An 18,484-nucleotide genomic window follows, 5' to 3' on the forward strand; every position below is an offset into this window, starting at 1 on the left:
ATATTTTCATGGATTCCTTATCATCTCAACTTGGTTTGATACTCCTAGAGGGCAGTAATAATTAAGTTGACAACAGTATAGACACAATGCCATGATCACTGTTAAGAGCTCAATAATTACGTGTTAGTTTGATTGATCCCCATTTCCTCACCATCCATTATTTTCTTCCACCTCCCTGAATTCTGGATTCCGTTCTATCATTTTATGAAAAGTTGCAAAAACTTTTTTTTTTTTTTTTTTTTTTTTGAGATGGAGTCTCGCTGTCGCCCAGGCTGGAGTGCAGTGGCGCCACCTCAGCTCACTGCAAGCTCCGCCTCCCGGGTTCACGCCATTCTCCTGCCTCAGCCTCCCGCATAGCTGGGACTACAGGCGCCAGCCACCTCGCCTGGCTAATTTTTTGTATTTTTAGTAGAGACGGGGTTTCACCGTGTTAGCCAGGATGGTCTCAATCTCCTGACCTCGTGATCCGCCCGCCTCGGCCTCCCAAAGTGCTGGGATTACAGGCGTGAGCCACAGCGCCCGGCCAAAAACTTTTACTCCTAAGTGATTTTTCACTTTACTAAGTCCAAGGGTCTTTTTCTCACATTTCATTCTTCTTGACTTCTCTATACCATAGACCATCCTCTGCTTGAAACCTCCTCCTCCCTTAGCTATTGAGACATTTGTATTCTCCCACTTCTTTAAACATTCCTTTTATCTATGATCCTGACTCACTTTTTTCCACCCACCTCCCAAAACAATTTTCCCAAGGCTCAATCCTAGGACTCTCATTTCTCCATTCTTATAATCATGCCCTCAGGAAGTTGACCCAGTATTACAGATTAGACCATCACCTCTATAGAAAAGATGTCCTAATGCTACTATTAATCTTGACTTTCCACACAAATTCCTGTCTCACAACTCCAGTTATTTCCTGGGCATTTCCACTTGGAGGCCTTGGAACTATGTTAAAGTTAACCTTAAATTCACCTCTTGAAACCAGGTCCCAGTTGGCTCAGGATCGTGAGCAACTGCATGAACAGGAAGACCAGAAGAGGCTGAGTATGGAAGATTCTAAGATGATAGAAAAATAAAAGGTCACAGTTGGGAAACACCCTCACCAGAATTTTGAATTCTATAAGCCCAGCAGAATCATCAAGTTCCAAATGCAAGAGTTAAGTACAGAGAATTAAATAGATGTTAATACCATTCATGGTTAGAACAGAACTCAGACCAGTAAAAGATTTCAGGATACTGCAGCAGAGTCTGATATGCCTCAAAGATTTGGTGATCTCACCTTTCTCCATGGAGATTTTCTCCATCTCTCACTCCCAGCCAATGACTTCCAAACCTGAGCCCTTTGCTCTGACCTCAAGAACCAAATTTCCTATTGCTGTTTCATATTATACATGGATGTTCTGATGGCATCTCAGACACACTCAGTGCTGAACTTATGATCCCAACTCCAAAGCCTTATGTACTTTCCCTTCTTTTGTATTTTATCTTAGTTAATGCCATAATCTTCCTTCCAGTTTGGCTGTAAATCTCCAATGCATCTTTATTTATTTATTCTTCTCCATTACTCTTATCTGGTTAGTAGTTTTCTTTTGGGGAACCAACTCCTCTTCCATTCATAGTGCAAAGATTAACGTGAGCCATCCATCCCCTACCTCTCCTTCAAGGGTGGCCATGTGACCCACTACTAATTATCACATTCCATCCCCTTGACTGCAGGGATTGATTCAGGGATAGATATAGGACCCAAGTTGGGCCAACTGTACTTTTGGACCTTGAACACAGTGAAGCCTGAACTGAATACTTTTGACATTAAATTCATCCAGGCAACAGTCCATGAGGAGACTTTCCCTTTGTTCCTGCTCCCTAAATGCCCAAAGCTGCTCTGGTTACCACCCTTCCTGAAACCTGCATGTTCAGCTGTTCCTTTGATATTATGAGCTACCCCACATTCTTCCAATAAATTCTGCCTCCTCGTACTCCAAATTTTTTGCTAGCCAGAGTTGGCTGTCTGCAACCAAGGAACCCTGATAAAGCCTGTGATTTTTTTTCTTCCATTAGGTCCCCTTAACTTGCCCCCACTTTTCCACTCTCACTGGCCTATTACCATTTGCTGAAACCTTTTCAATAGCCTTCTAGTATGTAGTCACTCTATATATTACTGTAAGAGTTATTTTTCTAAAGCACAGCAAATCATGACATTTCTCCTCAAAAGCCTTCAGAGTCAAAATAAGTGTGTGTTGTGGGGGGGAGAGAGGACCCAGGCAAACGAAAAAGTATATGCCAAGTCCAGAGGCAAAAAGGTACAGGTATTTTAGAGGAACAGCAAGTGGTCAGTGTGGCTGGACCACAGAGAGAGTGATGAAGAAAGATAAAGCAAGAGAGGTACACAAGGCCAGGTCACTCAGGACCACGTAAGCTACGTTAAAGATTCTGTGCTTTTTCAAAATCAAAAGGGACCTGTTGAAGGATTAAAACAAAAGAGATAATCTGTTTGGAAAACAGAAAGAAAACCGAAAGGAGGCAAAATCAGAGAAATCACATGAGATAGTTATGACCTGTATCAAAAATAGGCATTCATTCATTCACTCACTCACTCACTCACTCACTCACTCACTCACTCTTCTACTTCATCTAACACTTTTTTGGAGCCTTTTATGTGCCTGTGCTAAGCTCTACAGCTAAGAAGGATAATCCCTGACCTCACGGAGCCTACAGTCTTTTGCAGCAAGACAGACTTATTAATTAAAAAGAAATGACAAGACATGGTGATTGATGAGATATGGGAAGTAAAATAAAAGGTCAATCAAGGATAACATCTAATTTCTGCTTTGGGCAACCAAGTGGATGGTGGAGCCATTTGCTGAGATGGAAATTAAAGGTAGAATAGGTTCAGTTGGGGGATAGATGACAAATGCCATCTTGGACATTCATTCATTCAACAGATATTTATTATATGATGAGGCTAAAGGTAGGTATCTATGAGATATGTCCAGTGGGCTCTATATATAGAGGTCAGGAAATGAAGTAAAGGAATGGTCATGATTTCCTCTTCTACCACAAAAACATACAAATGCTTAATCAAAAGTGAATAGGGGCCAGGTGCGGTGGCTCACGACTGTAATCCCAGCACTTTGGGAGGCCAAGGTGGGCAGATCACCTGAGGTCAGGAGTTCGAGTCAAGCCTGGCCAACATGGTGAAACCTTGTCTCTACTAAAAATACAAAAATTAGCCAGGCGTGGTGGCACATGCCTGTAGTCCCAGCTACTCAGGAGGCTGAGGCAGGAGAATCACTTGAACCTGGGAGGTGGAGGTTGCAGTGACCTGAGATTGCACCACAGCACTGCAGCCTGGGTGACAGAGAGAGACTCCATCTCAAAAAAAAAAAAAAAAAAAAAAAAAAAGAATAGGTATTCTAATTCAATAAGTATTTCCTTAGTACCGACTATACAAACACAGTGAACAAAATAGGCTAAGTCTAGCCTCAAAGAGTTTACATTCCAGGAATTCATGGCAAAAATCTGTAGTCCCACATACATAGTTGACATGCCTGCCAGGGCCCTTTGCTGCCAGAGGTTGCACCCTCCCTGCTTTTCTCATGGACTGCTTGACCATACCATGCTTCTAGCAGGTAAATTGTTACAACTTGGCATGCTATTCCAGAAAGGAATACAGCCTGTGATTTTTTTCTTCCATTAGGTCCCCTTAATTTATCCCCACTTTTCCACTCTCACTGGCCTATTTATTACCATTTACTGAAACCTTTTCAATAATCTTCTAGCATGTAGTCACTCTATGTATTACTATAAGAGTTATTTTTCTAAAGCACAGCAAATCGTTACATTCCTCCTCAAAAGCCTTCAGAGTCAAAATATGTGTGTGTTGTGGGGGAAGAGAGGACCAAAATCGTAAGGACAGAAATCAGGACACCTCACTTCTGATTCCTAGACCCTTTCCTTAGTCTCAGTGTCCTTGAGTTAAACACTGTGCTTAATATCAGACAGAACATGGCACAAGACTGACATTCTAGGTTTCATTATTTAAATATGTGTACAGACCTACATCCCTCACAAGTAAAAGCTTTCTGAAAAGTTTGATTAGATAATATCAAAAACTTTCCCCATATTTCTGTTCTTACTTAAGCATTAAGGTAAAGTTTCAGAAACTGCAGAGTTTTCTAATTTTAAGCCAACATCCTGCAGTTATGGAATATTATATAAAAGGACTTAAGAGGCTGTAAATGAATGTATCTTTTGCTTTACCCCCAGAAACCCAGAGATGTGATACAATTTTGATCTGACAGAACAAATACTGGAATATTTTGGGCTTTTCTAATAATCATAGGAGCACAGACTTGTAAAAGAACAAATGCCACAGAAAATGAGGTTAAAGGACACAAACTGTAAGTATAAAAGGGAAAACATGTAGAAACATGGTGCTATGGTTTGAATATTTGTCTCCTCCTATACTCATGTTGAAACTTAATTGACATTGCAACAGTATTAAGAGGTGGCACCTTTATGAAGTGATTAGGACATGAGAGCAGAGCCCTCATGAACAGATTAATGCCATTATCTCAGTGGGTTAGTTATCCCAAGATGGGCTGTTATAAAGTGGGCTGGCCTCTGGTGCCTCCCTCTTTTGTATGTGCTTGCTTGCCCTTCCGCCTTTCCACCATATGATGATGCAGCAAGAAGACCCTCAACAGATACCTGCCTGTAAACCTTGGACTTCACAGCCTCCAGAACTGTGAGCTAAATAAACCTCTGTTCTTTATAAATTACCCAGTCTGTGGTATTCAGTTATACCAACAGAAAACATACGAACATATGGGCTGCCTAGCCCTTACAGTCTTTAGGGCATAAGTCCCATAGGGCCTACCTGTAAGGATAAAAGGTGTTGGATTAAGGAGTGTCAGAGAGAAAAATCACATCTGAGAACTAAAAAATGAGAGATTTGGTAAAGAGCCAGGAGCCATGCTCTTTCTTCAGTGGGAAGAGTTGCTCCCCAGTTCCTAAGAGGTAGGGTGGAAAAAGTATTACACAACCTTTGCCATGCTGCAGGCTTCAATCAATATGTTCCCAAGAAGTCCACAACTCAGCATCTTATAAAAAGTAAACATTCTGGGCTAGAACCTGTGGCCCCTGAAATGAGACAGTACAACTCCAGATGTAGTACAGTGACAGCTTCTCTGCCTTTGCACATAAAAAAGGAGACATAAATCTGGGATGAAGAGGACAGACAGTAGTTAGAGGTTATAGTATTGCATCCCTGGCTTGGGCTATAGATAGATGATGTACATGGACTGAATGGTGGAGTAATTTGAGTTAAGGGAGTCTGTTACTCAACAGTAAATAATAATGAGAAAATATCTTCATGTTGTCTCTTACCCCAAGCTCCAGGAGTTGGGTCTCCCAAGTGAGGGGCCCTGCCCACAGAGGTTTCATCTATGGTTTTCTTTTTTTTTTTAATATATATATTTTTTATTATACTTTAAGTTCTAGGGTACATGTGCACAATGTGCTGGTTTGTTACATACGTATACACGTGCCATGTTGGTGTGCTGCACCCATCAACTCGTCATTTACATTAGGTATATCTCCTAATGCTATCCCTCCCCACTCCCCTCAGCCCACAACAGGCCCCAGTGTGTGATGTTCCCCTTCCTGTGTCCAAGTGTTCTCATTGTTCAATTCCCACCTATGAGTGAGAACATGCGGTGTTTGGTTTTTTATCCTTGCAATAGTTTGCTGAGAATGATGGTTTCCAGTTTCATCCATGTCCCTACAAAGGACATGAACTCATCATTTTTTATGGCTGCATAGTATTCCATGGTATATATGTGCCACATTTTCTTAATCCAGTCTATCATTGATGGACATCTGGGTTGGTTCCAAGTCTTTGCTATTGTGAATAGTGCCTCAGTAAACATATGTGTGCATGTGTCTTTATAGCAGCATGATTTGTAATCCTTTCTGTATATACCCAGTAATGGCATGGCTGGGTCAAATGGTATTTCTAGTTCTGGATCCCTGAGGAATCGTCACACTGTCTTCCACAATGGTTGAACTAGTTTATAGTCCCATCAACAGTGTAAAAGTGTTCCTATTTCTCCACATCCTCTCCAGCACCTGTTATTTCCTGACTTTTTAATGATCGCCATTCTAACTGGTGTGAGGTGGTATCTCACTGTGGTTTTGATTTGCATTTCTCTGATGGCCAGTGATGATGAGCATTTTTTCATGTGTCTTTTGGCTGCATAAATGTCTTCTTTTGAGAAGTGTCTGTTTATATCCTTTGCCCGCTTGTTGATGGGGTTGTTTTTTTCTTGTAAATTTGTTTGAGTTCATCGTAGATTCCGGATATTAGCCCTTTGTCAGATGAGTAGATTGCAACAATTTTTTCCCATTCTGTAGGTTGCCTGTTCACTCTGACGGTAGTTTCTTTTGCTGTGCAGAAGCTCTTTAGTTTAATTAGATCCCATTTGTCAATTTTGGTTTTGTTGCCATTGCTTTTGGTGTCTTAGACATGAAGTCCTTGTCCACGCCTATGGTATTGCCTAGGTTTTCTTCTAGGGTTTTTATGGTTTTAGGTCTAACATTTAAGTCTTTAAACCATCTTGAATTAATTTTTGTATAAGGTGTAAGGAAGGGATCCAGTTTCAGCTTTCTACATATGGCTAGCCAGTTTTCCCAAAGCCTTTTATTAAATAGGGAATCCTTTCCCCATTTCTTGTTTTTGTCAGGTTTGTCAAAGATCAGATAGTTGTAGATGTGTGATATTACTTCTGAGGGCTCTGTTCTGTTCCATTGGTCTATATCTCTGTTTTGGTACCAGTACCATGCTGTTTTGGTTACTGTAGCCTTGTAGTATAGTTTGAAGTCAGGTAGCATGATGCCTCCAGCTTTGTTCTTTTGGCTTAGGACTGACTTGGCAATGTGGGCTCCTTTTTGGTTCCATATGAACTTTAAAGTAGTTTTTTCCAATTCTGTGAAGAAAGTCATTGGTAGCTTGATGGGGATGGCGTTGAATCTATAAATTACCTTGGGCAGTATGGCCATTTTCACGATATTGATTCTTCCTATCCATGAGCATGGAATGTTCTTCCATTTGTTTGTATCCTCTTTTATTTCATTGAGCAGTGGTTTGTAGTTCTCCTTGAAGAGGTCCTTCACATCCCTTGTAAGTTGGATTCCTGGTTTTCATGACCCTTAGGTGTGGCCTGGGGTTGCCAATGGCCCAGGTGAGTGTAAAGATATTTTTTCAGACATAACTGTCTATAATAGCCTGGGTAGTTCTCCACCCAGACTGTAGGTGGCAGCTACAGGGTTAGGGCAGAAAAGGCCAGAAAAGTATAATTGCACAAATTGGTTTAGTCACACTCATACAAATAGTCATATGTTAGATAATGTATATAAAGCATTTAGTTCAGAGTGTGGTCCTTAGTAATTGTTCAATAAATATCAATTATTATTGTACACTCACACAGATATATTAATGTATCTATACAACTTTGGGGAACATTCCAGATAGTAACTCTGCTTTCCAGGCAAAAAGAAGGTCAAGGCTCCTGGGCCCACACAGGCAAGGTTCATCCTCACAAATGTCATTTCAACAGCACTGCAGACGTTGCAGGGAAATGCCAGGTCAGGAGGCTGCAATCTGAGGATACCCACTCTCTCATATCCAGCCAAAGACAGGCAAGGCCGAAGCCAGTGAACAAAGGGCACAGCGTACTAGTACTATAAAGGATGGCAAATAGAGGCTAAGGTAGAGCAACGATTTCCTGGGGCAAAAACTACAGTGTGCTCACAAAGATGCAGGAGGGACATTTCAACACTTCCTTCTGCATGGGATTCTGCCACTCCCCCTAATATTCTTCCTCCATCCTTGCCAGAAGACCTAGCTGAAACTGAACCCTTCTTTGTCCTCCATCTTACATTCTGGTTTTTCCTTCTTGGCCTTTCTATATCCACGTTTTCTTGGTTGTTGTCCACTTCTATCAACCTCCTGAAGCCACCCTTTCAGATCCTCAGCCAGCCTGGTAGCAAGAGGAGTGTCTTCCCTTTGGGACATTCTAAACGGCCAGTTTGGCTCTTAACATCTAATTTACATGTAATTCTGTGCTGGCACAGTCGACACAAACATGAATGCCTAATCTGATCACACTTGCTCTCTTCTCTCATTTTGTCTCAAGTAGAAAGCATCATGTTCAATAACCTGGTTTTACTTAAAATTATACCTATTTTAGACAGCTAGGAAATTTTCTTTCTTAAATCATAGTTATTTCACCCTGTAGGAATTACTCACAAATTTATTCACTTTCACAATAATTTGCACATTAAACTTTTGAAAACTGAGGTTGCTTGACAGTATGTGAATGAAAAATGTTAAATGATAAAGAATACGTAAATGACATATTTACAATTTAAAAACTGACAGTACATAAAATGAAAATAAGTGGTCTATTTATCAAAAAAAAAGCATAATTTTGAATTTTCTTTCCTTTTCTTTTTTTGAGATAGAATTTCGCTCTCATTGCCCAGGCTGGAGTGCAAGGGCACAATCTTGGCTCACTGCAACCTCCGCCTCCCAGGTTCAAGCGATTCTCCTGCCTCAGCCTCCCGAGTAGCTGGGATTGCAGGTGTGCACCACCACACCTGGCTAATTTTGTATTTTTAGTAGAGACAGGGTTTCATCATGTTGGTCAGGATGGTCTCAAACTCCTGACCTCAGATGATCCACCCACCTCGGCCTCCCAAAGTGCTGGGATTAGAGGCCTCGGCCACTGCACCCAGCCTGAATTTATTTTCTAAATGAGAAATAGTCTGAGTCCCGTTACATGAAAACCTACCTCTCACCATTAGGTCCCACTCTGTTGATTAATTTTTCCATGGCTGCTTCTGTCTCCTTCAGTTTTTCTTGCAGTTGAGCAAGCTCAAAACTGGCTAAAAAATAAGCAACAATCTAAGAACCATCAGAGACAACTCCCTAAACCTGTTAAAGAGACCACAAATTTTTAAAAAGCTATTGTACTGTCTAACTTCCCATTACTATCTCATTGAAGAACACCGCAGTTTTATTAAAGGATTCTGTGAATATTTAAGATTTCCAAAAAGGATGCAAAGTGTGACTGGGATATTTAGTTCCATAGAAAATCCAGAAGTAAATCCAAAAAGCAGTTACAGCCCAGATAAACATGATTTCCTGCAATGCTTTTGCCAAGTCTCTTACTTGCGGGTGGTAAATTTTTCATAGGTTATTTTTCCTGACATACATTCTAGTCTATAAATTCTTGAGGAAAGAGCCATGTTGTATAAATTTAATTTCCCTAGAGAACACAGAATATTCTAGTTGTATAATAAGTATCTGATGGCCATGTTTCAACAGTCAGAAGTGTTAAACTCTTTCCCTAGATCTAAAAACTGATTTTGGCAATGATATGATTTCTCTGCCTCCATTTTGCTCTCTGCTACCAATATTTTGAAGTCTGAAAATGAGAAGTCATTCCAAACGTGAAATATTAATTTGCTAATATATTAAAAAGTGAACTGGTGGTTTTGTACTTTTTGTAGTACATCAATATAAAAACTTTTGAGAATTCCCAGAACTAAGGCAAAAATGGCATCAGATTAATTTGGAGCAACTTTTGAGAAATGCTTTTAAGACATACCCACAGACTGTCCCTGTGGCTATAAAACTGTTTGACTCAATAATACCTGTGAATATACTGAGAAGGGGCACTTACTAATTTTCCTGTGGGTGTTTCCAGGCATGGCAGTATAGCATTTCCCATCCTCTGCAGTTGTTTTCCCCTTTGAGAGCTGAGAATTGAAGGAGGTATAGCACATCAACAGCAGCTCAGAACCTCAGTCACGGAACCCCTCATATCAAACAAAAAAAAAAGGTTGGGAAACAAAAATGAAGGTCAGAAATTAAATCAAATAGCAACACTAGAGAAATAGCTCAAAAAAAAAAACGCCAAAAGATGAGGTTTCCAAGTAAAAAATTATCAAAGCACAAGTGTAAAAAGTAAAGTAGAGATTCCTCTTCAAAGAGACTTTACTCCCCATATAATTAGGAATAGTAACTTCTCTTAGAAGCAAAATTTATTCAAGAACCTGTGCTAACATGCTTAGATATCTGCTAGCCATAATAAAGAAATCAACTGTTCTTAGCTCCCACAGTTTAGCCTAAATATTTGCCCTGGCATGCTTATACTTGTCAAAGCAAGCATGAGGTCATAGCCTGTTCCTCTTCCTTATATGAAGGTGTTTTTACCTTTCTCAGCATTCCACAAGTTAGTTCCTCCTTCCTTTGTTCTCCTCTGCCTTTGCCTCTTTTAAAAAGTTCTAAGTCGCTAGCCAATCAGCACAAATACAGAATGTGAGGTCCCGTTCCAGCCAATGGAAACCGGACACAGCAGTAAGGTGGATGCGTCAGGTTATAAATGACCCTGTCTCCTTTGTTCGGTGTACTCTCACGGCAAAACCGCTGGTGAGTGTACCCTTTCTGCAGAAAGTAAAAATGGCCTTGCTGAGGAAATTAAATGTACGTCCAAGTGCTGCTTCTTTATGGCACCAGAGAACAAGCATTTCTAACACAAGGGAAAAAAAATCTCCCTACAGGTCATCTTCCTTGCTCATGCTCATCTAAAAGGGATGTGTGGCACCCTATGGGCATTCTTACAGACTCAACTCAGACTGCCTGCAGAATTCCTGGGCGAGAAAGAACTCATCTTATTTAAGCTTACTCTAGACAGGAGGGCAAAGTGAGTCTTCTGCCTCTAATTCACAGTACAGGGGCCAGGGGCCTGCAAAGGCCTGCCTGGAGGTGGAACTCAACTGGGGGTCTGCTTTAAAGAACCTACACCCATGTCTCCCCAGAGCTAGGAAATATCAGGCTTAATTTCAGGAGGGACAGTTCTGTCTCAGGAGAATTATTGGAGATAATATTAAAAACAGCATCTCAAATTCCTGTGGAGAAACAAGCAGGATAAAGTGGTGTCATTATTTGGCCTTACAATGGCTATTTGGAAATCACTGTGCCAATCCCAATAATAAAAGCTCTTCTTAGAAAATCTTTATTCCTTTTCGGCCTGTAAAGATGTTAATTTTTTTTTTTTTTTTTTTTTTTTTGGCAGGGGAGTGCATTGAATTGTATCACTCACTGGATTAAGAACCAAAAGATCCATGTTCAAGTCCTAGTTCTGCCTTGTTAGTTGTGAATTTTGGGGCAAAACACTTAAACATTGAGTAAACATTTCTTATGTGAAACTGAAATAATGGCTATCCTAAGTACCTCATGAAGAGGAGGCAGGATTTAAAGAGATGATGGATTTGAAATAATTTTATGAACTATAAGAAGTTTTAATGTAGACAATGATTTTTATTGCCATATTAGATTTTCATTGATGTAATATGATTAGGATGATTCTACTTACCTTAAATAGAATGTACAGTATATATAAAAAAATCCCAAAACCGTAGATTGGAATAATCTGCCCCATCAGACCTCTTCCACTACCTCCTCCTCCAGCACCTCCACCTGATCCTTTGGCCTTTGCAAATGCCTCGGCAAGGTGAGACCTCTGGAAACGAGCCCCAGGAGTCTGGCCATCTGAGGGTGCCTGGTGATGATGCATCATAGGTGGAAATCGGCCCAATTTTCCTGAGAAAATAATAATCACTTTTTATCTCTTCTACTATTTTAAAGATGGCTATCATGAAAACACCAAATCATTAAGGTATAAAAGAGGCCAACACAAACAAGTAGAAGAAAAAAATGGCAACTTAATTAAAAGGATACAGAGGTATCACACATATCCTAAATATGATGTGATCATCTCTAGCTGTTCACCAAACCCATTTTCTCTTCCCTCTGGGTCCTTAGCTGGACCACATTTTTCAGACTCCCATACAGTTAAATGTGGCCATATAAACTGAGTTCCAACCAAGGAATGTGACTAGGACTGTGCTAGCTCAAGGCCTGGTCTATAAAATCTCCCTTGTTATTCAACTCCGTGATCATTTCTTTTCTGCAGCATGGATGCTAACACCCACGGGGACCTTGGAAGCCACGGGTAGAAACAGCAAAGCCTCCATCAACCTGATTCCTAAATAATTATGTAGTGCAGAGCCCTCCACTGCTGCCACCTCACTAACTTAGAGTCATCTGGACCTGTCTGTAAGAGTGAGAAATCAACTTCTATTGTGTTAGGGTCATTATACACTGTGGAATCTATTTGTTACAGCAGTTAGCCACCCCTAACTAATACAGATAAGAAAATACAGACTAACAGCGGATCTCTCGGCAGAAACCCTACAAGCCAGAAGAGAGTGGGGGCCAATATTCAACATTCTTAAAGAAAAGAATTTTCAACCCAGAATTTCATATCCAGCCAAACTAAGCTTCATAAGTGAAGGAGAAATAAAATACTTTACAGACAAGCAAATGCTGAGAGATTTTGTCACCACCAGGCCTGCCCTAAAAGAGCTCCTGAAGGAAGCGCTAAACATGGAAAGGAACAACCGGTACCAGCCGCTGCAAAATCATGCCAAAATGTAAAGACCATCGAGACTAGGAAGAAACTGCATCAACTAACGAGCAAAATCACCAGCTAACATCATAATGACAGGATCAAATTCACACATAACAATACTAACTTTAAATGTAAATGGACTAAATGCTCCAATTAAAATACACAGACTGGCAAATTGGATAAAGTCAAGACCCAACAGTGTGCTGTATTCAGGAAACCCATCTCACGTGCAGAGACACACATAGGCTCAAAATAAAAGGATGGAGGAAGATCTACCAAGCAAATGGAAAATAAAAAAAGGCAGGGGTTGCAGTCCTAGTTTCTGATAAAACAGACTTTAAACCAACAAGATCAAAAGAGACAAAGAAGGCCATTACATAATGGTAAAGGATCAATTCAACAAGAGGAGCTAACTATCCTAAATATATATGCACCCAATACAGGAGCACCCAGATTCATAAAGCAAGTCCTGAGTGACCTACAAAGAGACTTAGACTCCCACACATTAATAATGGGAGACTTTAACACCCCACTGTCAACATTAGACAGATCAACGAGACAGAAAGTCAACAAGGATACCCAGGAATTGAACTCAGCTCTGCACCAAGTGGACCTAATAGACACCTACAGAACTCTCCACCCCAAATCAACAGAATATACATTTTTTTCAGCACCACACCACAACTATTCCAAAATTGACCACATACTTGGAAGTAAAGCTCTCCTCAGCAAATGTAAAAGAACAGAGATTATAACAAACTCTCTCAGACCACAGTGCAATCAAACTAGAACTCAGGATTAAGAATCTCACTCAAAACCGCTCAACTACATGGAAACTGAACAACCTGCTCCTGAATGACTACTGGATACATAACGAAACGAAGGCAGAAATAAAGATGTTCTTTGAAACCAACGAGAACAAAGACACAACATACCAGAATCTCTGGGACGCATTCAAAGCAGTGTGTAGAGGGAAATTTATAGCACTAAATGCCCACAGGAGAAAGCAGGAAAGATCCAAAATTGACACCCTAACATCACAATTAAAAGAACTAGAAAAGCAAGAGCAAACACATTCAAAAGCTAGCAGAAGGCAAGAAATAACTAAAATCAGAGCAGAACTGAAGGAAATAGAGACACAAAAAACCCTTCAAAAAATTAATGAATCCAGGAGCTGGTTTTTTGAAAGGATCAACAAAATTGATAGACCGCTAGCAACACTAATAAAGAAAAAAAGAGAGAAGAATCAAATAGACACAATAAAAAATGATAAAGGGGATATCACCACCTATCCCACAGAAATACAAACTACCATCAGAGAATACTACAAACACCTCTACGCAAAAAAACTAGAAAATCTAGAAGAAATGGATAAATTCCTCAACACATACACTCTCCCAAGACTAAACCAGGAAGAAGTTGAATCTCTGAATAGACCAGTAACAGGAGCTGAAATTGTGGCAATAATCAATAGTTTACCAACCAAAAAGAGTCCAGGACCAGATGGATTCACAGCCGAATTCTATCAGAGGTACAAGGAGGAACTGGTACCATTCCTTCTGAAACTACTCCAATCAATAGAAAAAGAGGGAATCCTCCCTAACTCATTTTATGAGGCCAGCATCATTCTGATACCAAAGCCGGGCAGAGACACAACCAAAAAAGAGAATTTTAGACCAATATCCTTGATGAACATTGATGCAAAAATCCTCAATAAAATACTGGCAAAACGAATCCAGCAGCACATCAAAAAGCTTATCCACCATGATCAAGTGGGCTTCATCCCTGGGATGCAAGGCTGGTTCAATATACGCAAATCAATAAATGTAATCCAGCATATAAACAGAGCCAAAGACAAAAACCACAGGATTATCTCAATAGATGCAGAAAAAGCCTTTGACAAAATTCAACAACCCTTCATGCTAAAAACTCTCAATAAATTAGGTATTGATGGGACGTATTTCAAAATAATAAGATCTATCTATGACAAACCCATAGCCAATATCATACTGAATGGGCAAAAACTGGAAGCATTCCCTTTGAAAACTGGCACAAGACAGGGATGCCCTCTCTCACCACTCCTATTCAACATAGTGTTGGAAGTTCTGGCCAGGGCAATTAGGCAGGAGAAGGAAATAAAGGGTATTCAATTAGGAAAAGAGGAAGTCAAATTGTCTCTGTTTGCAGACGACATGACTGTATATCTAGAAAACCCCATTGTCTCAGCCCAAAATCTCCTTAAGCTGATAAGCAACTTCAGCAAAGTCTCAGGATACAAAATCAATGTACAAAAATCACAAGCATTCTTATACACCAATAACAGACAAACAGAGAGTCAAATCATGAGTGAACTCCCATTCACAATTGCTTCAAAGAGAATAAAATACCTAGGAATCCAACTTACAAGGGATGTGAAGGACCTCTTCAAGGAGAACTACAAACCACTGCTCAAGGAAATAAAAGAGGATACAAACAAACGGAAGAACATTCCATGCTCATGGGTAGGAAGAATCAGTATCGTGAAAATGGCCATACTGCCCAAGGTAATTTACAGATTCAATGCCATCCCCATAAAGCTACCAATGACTTTCTTCACAGAATTGGAAAAAACTACTTTAAAGTTCATATGGAACCAAAAAAGAGCCCGCATCGCCAAGGCAATCCTAAGCCAAAAGAACAAAGCTGGAGGCATCATGCTACCTGACTTCAAACTATACTACAAGGCTACAGTAACCAAAACAGCATGGTACTGGTACCAAAACAGAGATATAGATCAATGGAACAGAACAGAGCCCTCAGAAATAACGCCGCATATCTACAACGATCAGACCTTTGACAAACCTGAGAAAAACAAGCAATGGGGAAAGGATTCCCTATTTAATAAATGGTGCTGGGATAACTGGCTAGCCATATGTAGAAAGCTGAAACTGGATCCCTTCCTTACACCTTATACAAAAATCAATTCAAGATGGATTAAAGCCTTAAACCTTAGACCTAAAACCATAAAAACCCTAGAAGAAAACCTAGGCATTACCATTCAGGACACAGGCATGGGCAAGGACTTCATGTCCAGAACACCAAAAGCGATGGCAACAAAAGACAAAATTGTCAAATGGGATCTAATGAAACTAAAGAGCTTCTGCACAGCAAAAGAAACTACCATCAGAGTGAACAGGCAACCTACAAAATGGGAGAAAATTTTCGCAACCTACTCATCTGACAAAGGGCTAATATCCAGAATCTACGATGAACTCAAACAAATTTACAAGAAAAAAACAAACAACCCCATCAAAAAGTGGGTGAAGGACATGAACAGACACTTCTCAAAAGAAGACATTTATGCAGCCAAAAAACACATGAAAAAATGCTCATCATCACTGGCCATCAGAGAAATGCAAATCAAAACCACAATGAGATACCATCTCACACCAGTTAGAATGGCAATCATTAAAAAGTCAGGAAACAACAGGTGCTGGAGAGGATGTGGAGAAATAGGAACACTTTTACACTGTTGGTGGGACTGTAAACTAGTTCAACCATTGTGGAAGTCAGTGTGGTGATTCCTCAGGGATCTAGAACTAGAAATACCATTTGACCTAGCCATCCCATTACTGGGTATATACCCAAAGGACTATAAATTATGCTGCTATAAAGACACATGCACACGTATGTTTATTGCGGCATTATTCACAATAGCAAAGACTTGGAACCAACCCAAATGTCCAACAATGATAGACTAGATTAAGAAAATGTGGCACATATATACCATGGAATACTATGCAGCCATAAAAAATGAAGAGTTCATGTCCTTTGTAGGGACATGGATGAAATTGGAAATCATCATTCTCAGTAAACTATCGCAAGAACAAAAAACCAAACACCGCATATTCTCACTCATAGGTGGGAATTGAACAATGAGATCACATGGACACAGGAAGGGGAATATCACACTCTGGGGACTGTGGTGGGGTGGGGGGAGGGGGGAGGGATAGCATTGGGAGATATACCTAATGCTAGATGACGAGTTAGTGGGTGCAGCGCACCAGCATGGCACATGTATACATATGTAACTAACCTGCACAATGTGCACATGTACCCTAAAACTTAAAGTATAATAAAAAAAAATTAAAAAAAAATTAAAAAAAAAAAAGAAAGAAAATACAATGTGGTCTCAGGAGAAAAGAGAACTAGAAACTGGAAAGCCATCAGGATCCAGGACAGGTACTTTCACATTCTAGCTCAATCTCTCTCCTTCTCTATGGGGCCATAAGGTTTTTTCTTTGTTTTTCTGTGCACATCTTCTTTATTCTTTCTCTGCAGACCATTTCTCTAGCTCCTTTGTGCACACAGGGGAAGATGGTCGCCCCAGCCCCTCAATTTGCATGTTCTTCAACAGGCTAGCTGAGACATCCTAATTTCAAATTCCTTGGAGGAGGACTTTAAGTACTCAGCTTGGGTAGGTATACATCTCTTTCCAATCAGCTATAGCTGAACAGACAGGATGGATATAGCACAAACAGGGTGAAAAAGGGACTCTTGAAAAAGGGGATCTTGTGAGTGGAAGAGCAGGGCTTGTGGGGAGGGGCAGAGGCAGGGGGAGGTGTTACATCAATTTTCTTGCATTTTTTTTTTCTCCATCAAGAGCAGTCAAAAGTTAACACCAACTACCAGAAAGGAATCTCAAATGGCCAAATAAACAGGCATGTATGAAAAACCACCAGGAGATAACATTATAGAACAGAAAATACTAGAGAGCATAAATAACACTCTAAATAAATAACACTCTAAAAATAGAAATAAAAAAATTGTTGGATTTGACTTGAACAAAATTGACAAAGATGTGGAGAGGCATGAATCCTCATGCACTGTGGGTAAGTGATACAGATATTCTGCCTAGTGATCTGGCTGTACTTCGTGATATTACATATGTACACACCCTATGATCCAATGATCCCACTCTGGTGAATAAATCCCACAGAAAATCTCAAATAAGGTTATATATATGTGAACTACAGACTTTATAGACCTATGTAAGAATGTTTGCTGTGACAATAGTGTAGTAGGGAGTTTGAAGTTAACTCTGATTTCCTTAACTGGAAGAATGGAAAATCAAAATGGAGTGAATACTAATATGGAATTCTACATAGCTTTGGAAACCACACTTTAGACATACCTACAGCAACATGAATACATCTTTAAAAACATACCGTTAGGTTAAGAAAAAGCAAATAACATTATGCAGGTTGAAAACACACACATAACGATATTAATCTTTCAAGCAAATATGTGGATATAAAGACATAAACATAAACACATCAGAGTAGGTGCATATGAATAGGAAAGGGAACTGGAATGTGGGTTGAGGATAAAGAACTAAAAGAATAAAACAAGAAAGTAAACTTGCACTAACAAAGTTAATAAAATGCTATGAACTGAGAACTGCCTTTAAGTTGTCGATGAAGAGTCAAACTAAAACATTTCAAGAGATTTATTCTGAGCCAAATATAAGTGACCATGGCACATGACACAGCCCTCAGGAGGTCCTGAGAACACGTACCCAAGGCGGTTAGGGTGCAGCTTGGTTTTACACATTTTAGAGAGACATGAGACTTCAATCAAATACATTGGTTTGGTCCAGAAAGGCAGGATAATTTGAAAGGCGGGGCGGGGTGGCAGGGGGCGGGGTGCTTCTAGCCTACAGGTAGATTTTAAAATTTTCTGGTTGACAATTGGTTGAGTTTATCTAAAGACCTGGGATCAACAGACAGGAAATGTTTAGATTAAGATAAAGGGTCCTGGCGACCAGGTTTTTCAATTTTACTGTGTAAAGGAAGCTCTCAGATAGCAGACTTCTGAGGGAGTAGATTGTAAAATGTTTCTTACATGAAAGGAAAATATCATGGGCCCCTTCAAGGTGGGGAATTGGTCCTGGCAAATCTGCCTCCCAT

General features: G+C 40.0%; 1 protein-coding gene across 35 annotated transcripts in view; it reads right to left on the minus strand.

Moving 5' to 3' along the window:
• The window catches only part of RIC3 (RIC3 acetylcholine receptor chaperone), a 76,061-nt gene that overhangs the window by 35,564 nt on the left and 22,013 nt on the right, over positions 1-18,484 (minus strand). For 27 of the 35 annotated variants that reach the window (XR_001747957.3, XR_007062500.1, XR_428851.5 and 24 more), the window contains 3 exons: positions 11,439-11,665; positions 9,744-9,819; positions 8,850-8,943 (listed from right to left, as the gene is read on the minus strand). The exons of 2 other annotated variants lie outside the window; for them this stretch is intronic. Coding sequence is in view for 12 of the 33 variants with exons in the window: in NM_001346691.2 (NP_001333620.1) it covers positions 8,850-8,943; positions 9,744-9,819; positions 11,439-11,665 (397 nt within the window). In the remaining 21 variants the exon portion in view is untranslated. Of the gene's footprint in view, positions 1-1,476; positions 7,317-8,849; positions 8,944-9,743; positions 9,820-11,438; positions 11,666-18,484 lie in introns of those variants that run through there. 6 more of the 35 variants (XR_007062502.1, XR_001747959.3, XM_047427585.1 and 3 more) reach the window with 3 other exon arrangements.

Source organism: Homo sapiens, chromosome 11 (assembly GCF_000001405.40).
Source record: "Homo sapiens chromosome 11, GRCh38.p14 Primary Assembly".
NCBI lineage: Eukaryota > Metazoa > Chordata > Mammalia > Primates > Hominidae > Homo > Homo sapiens.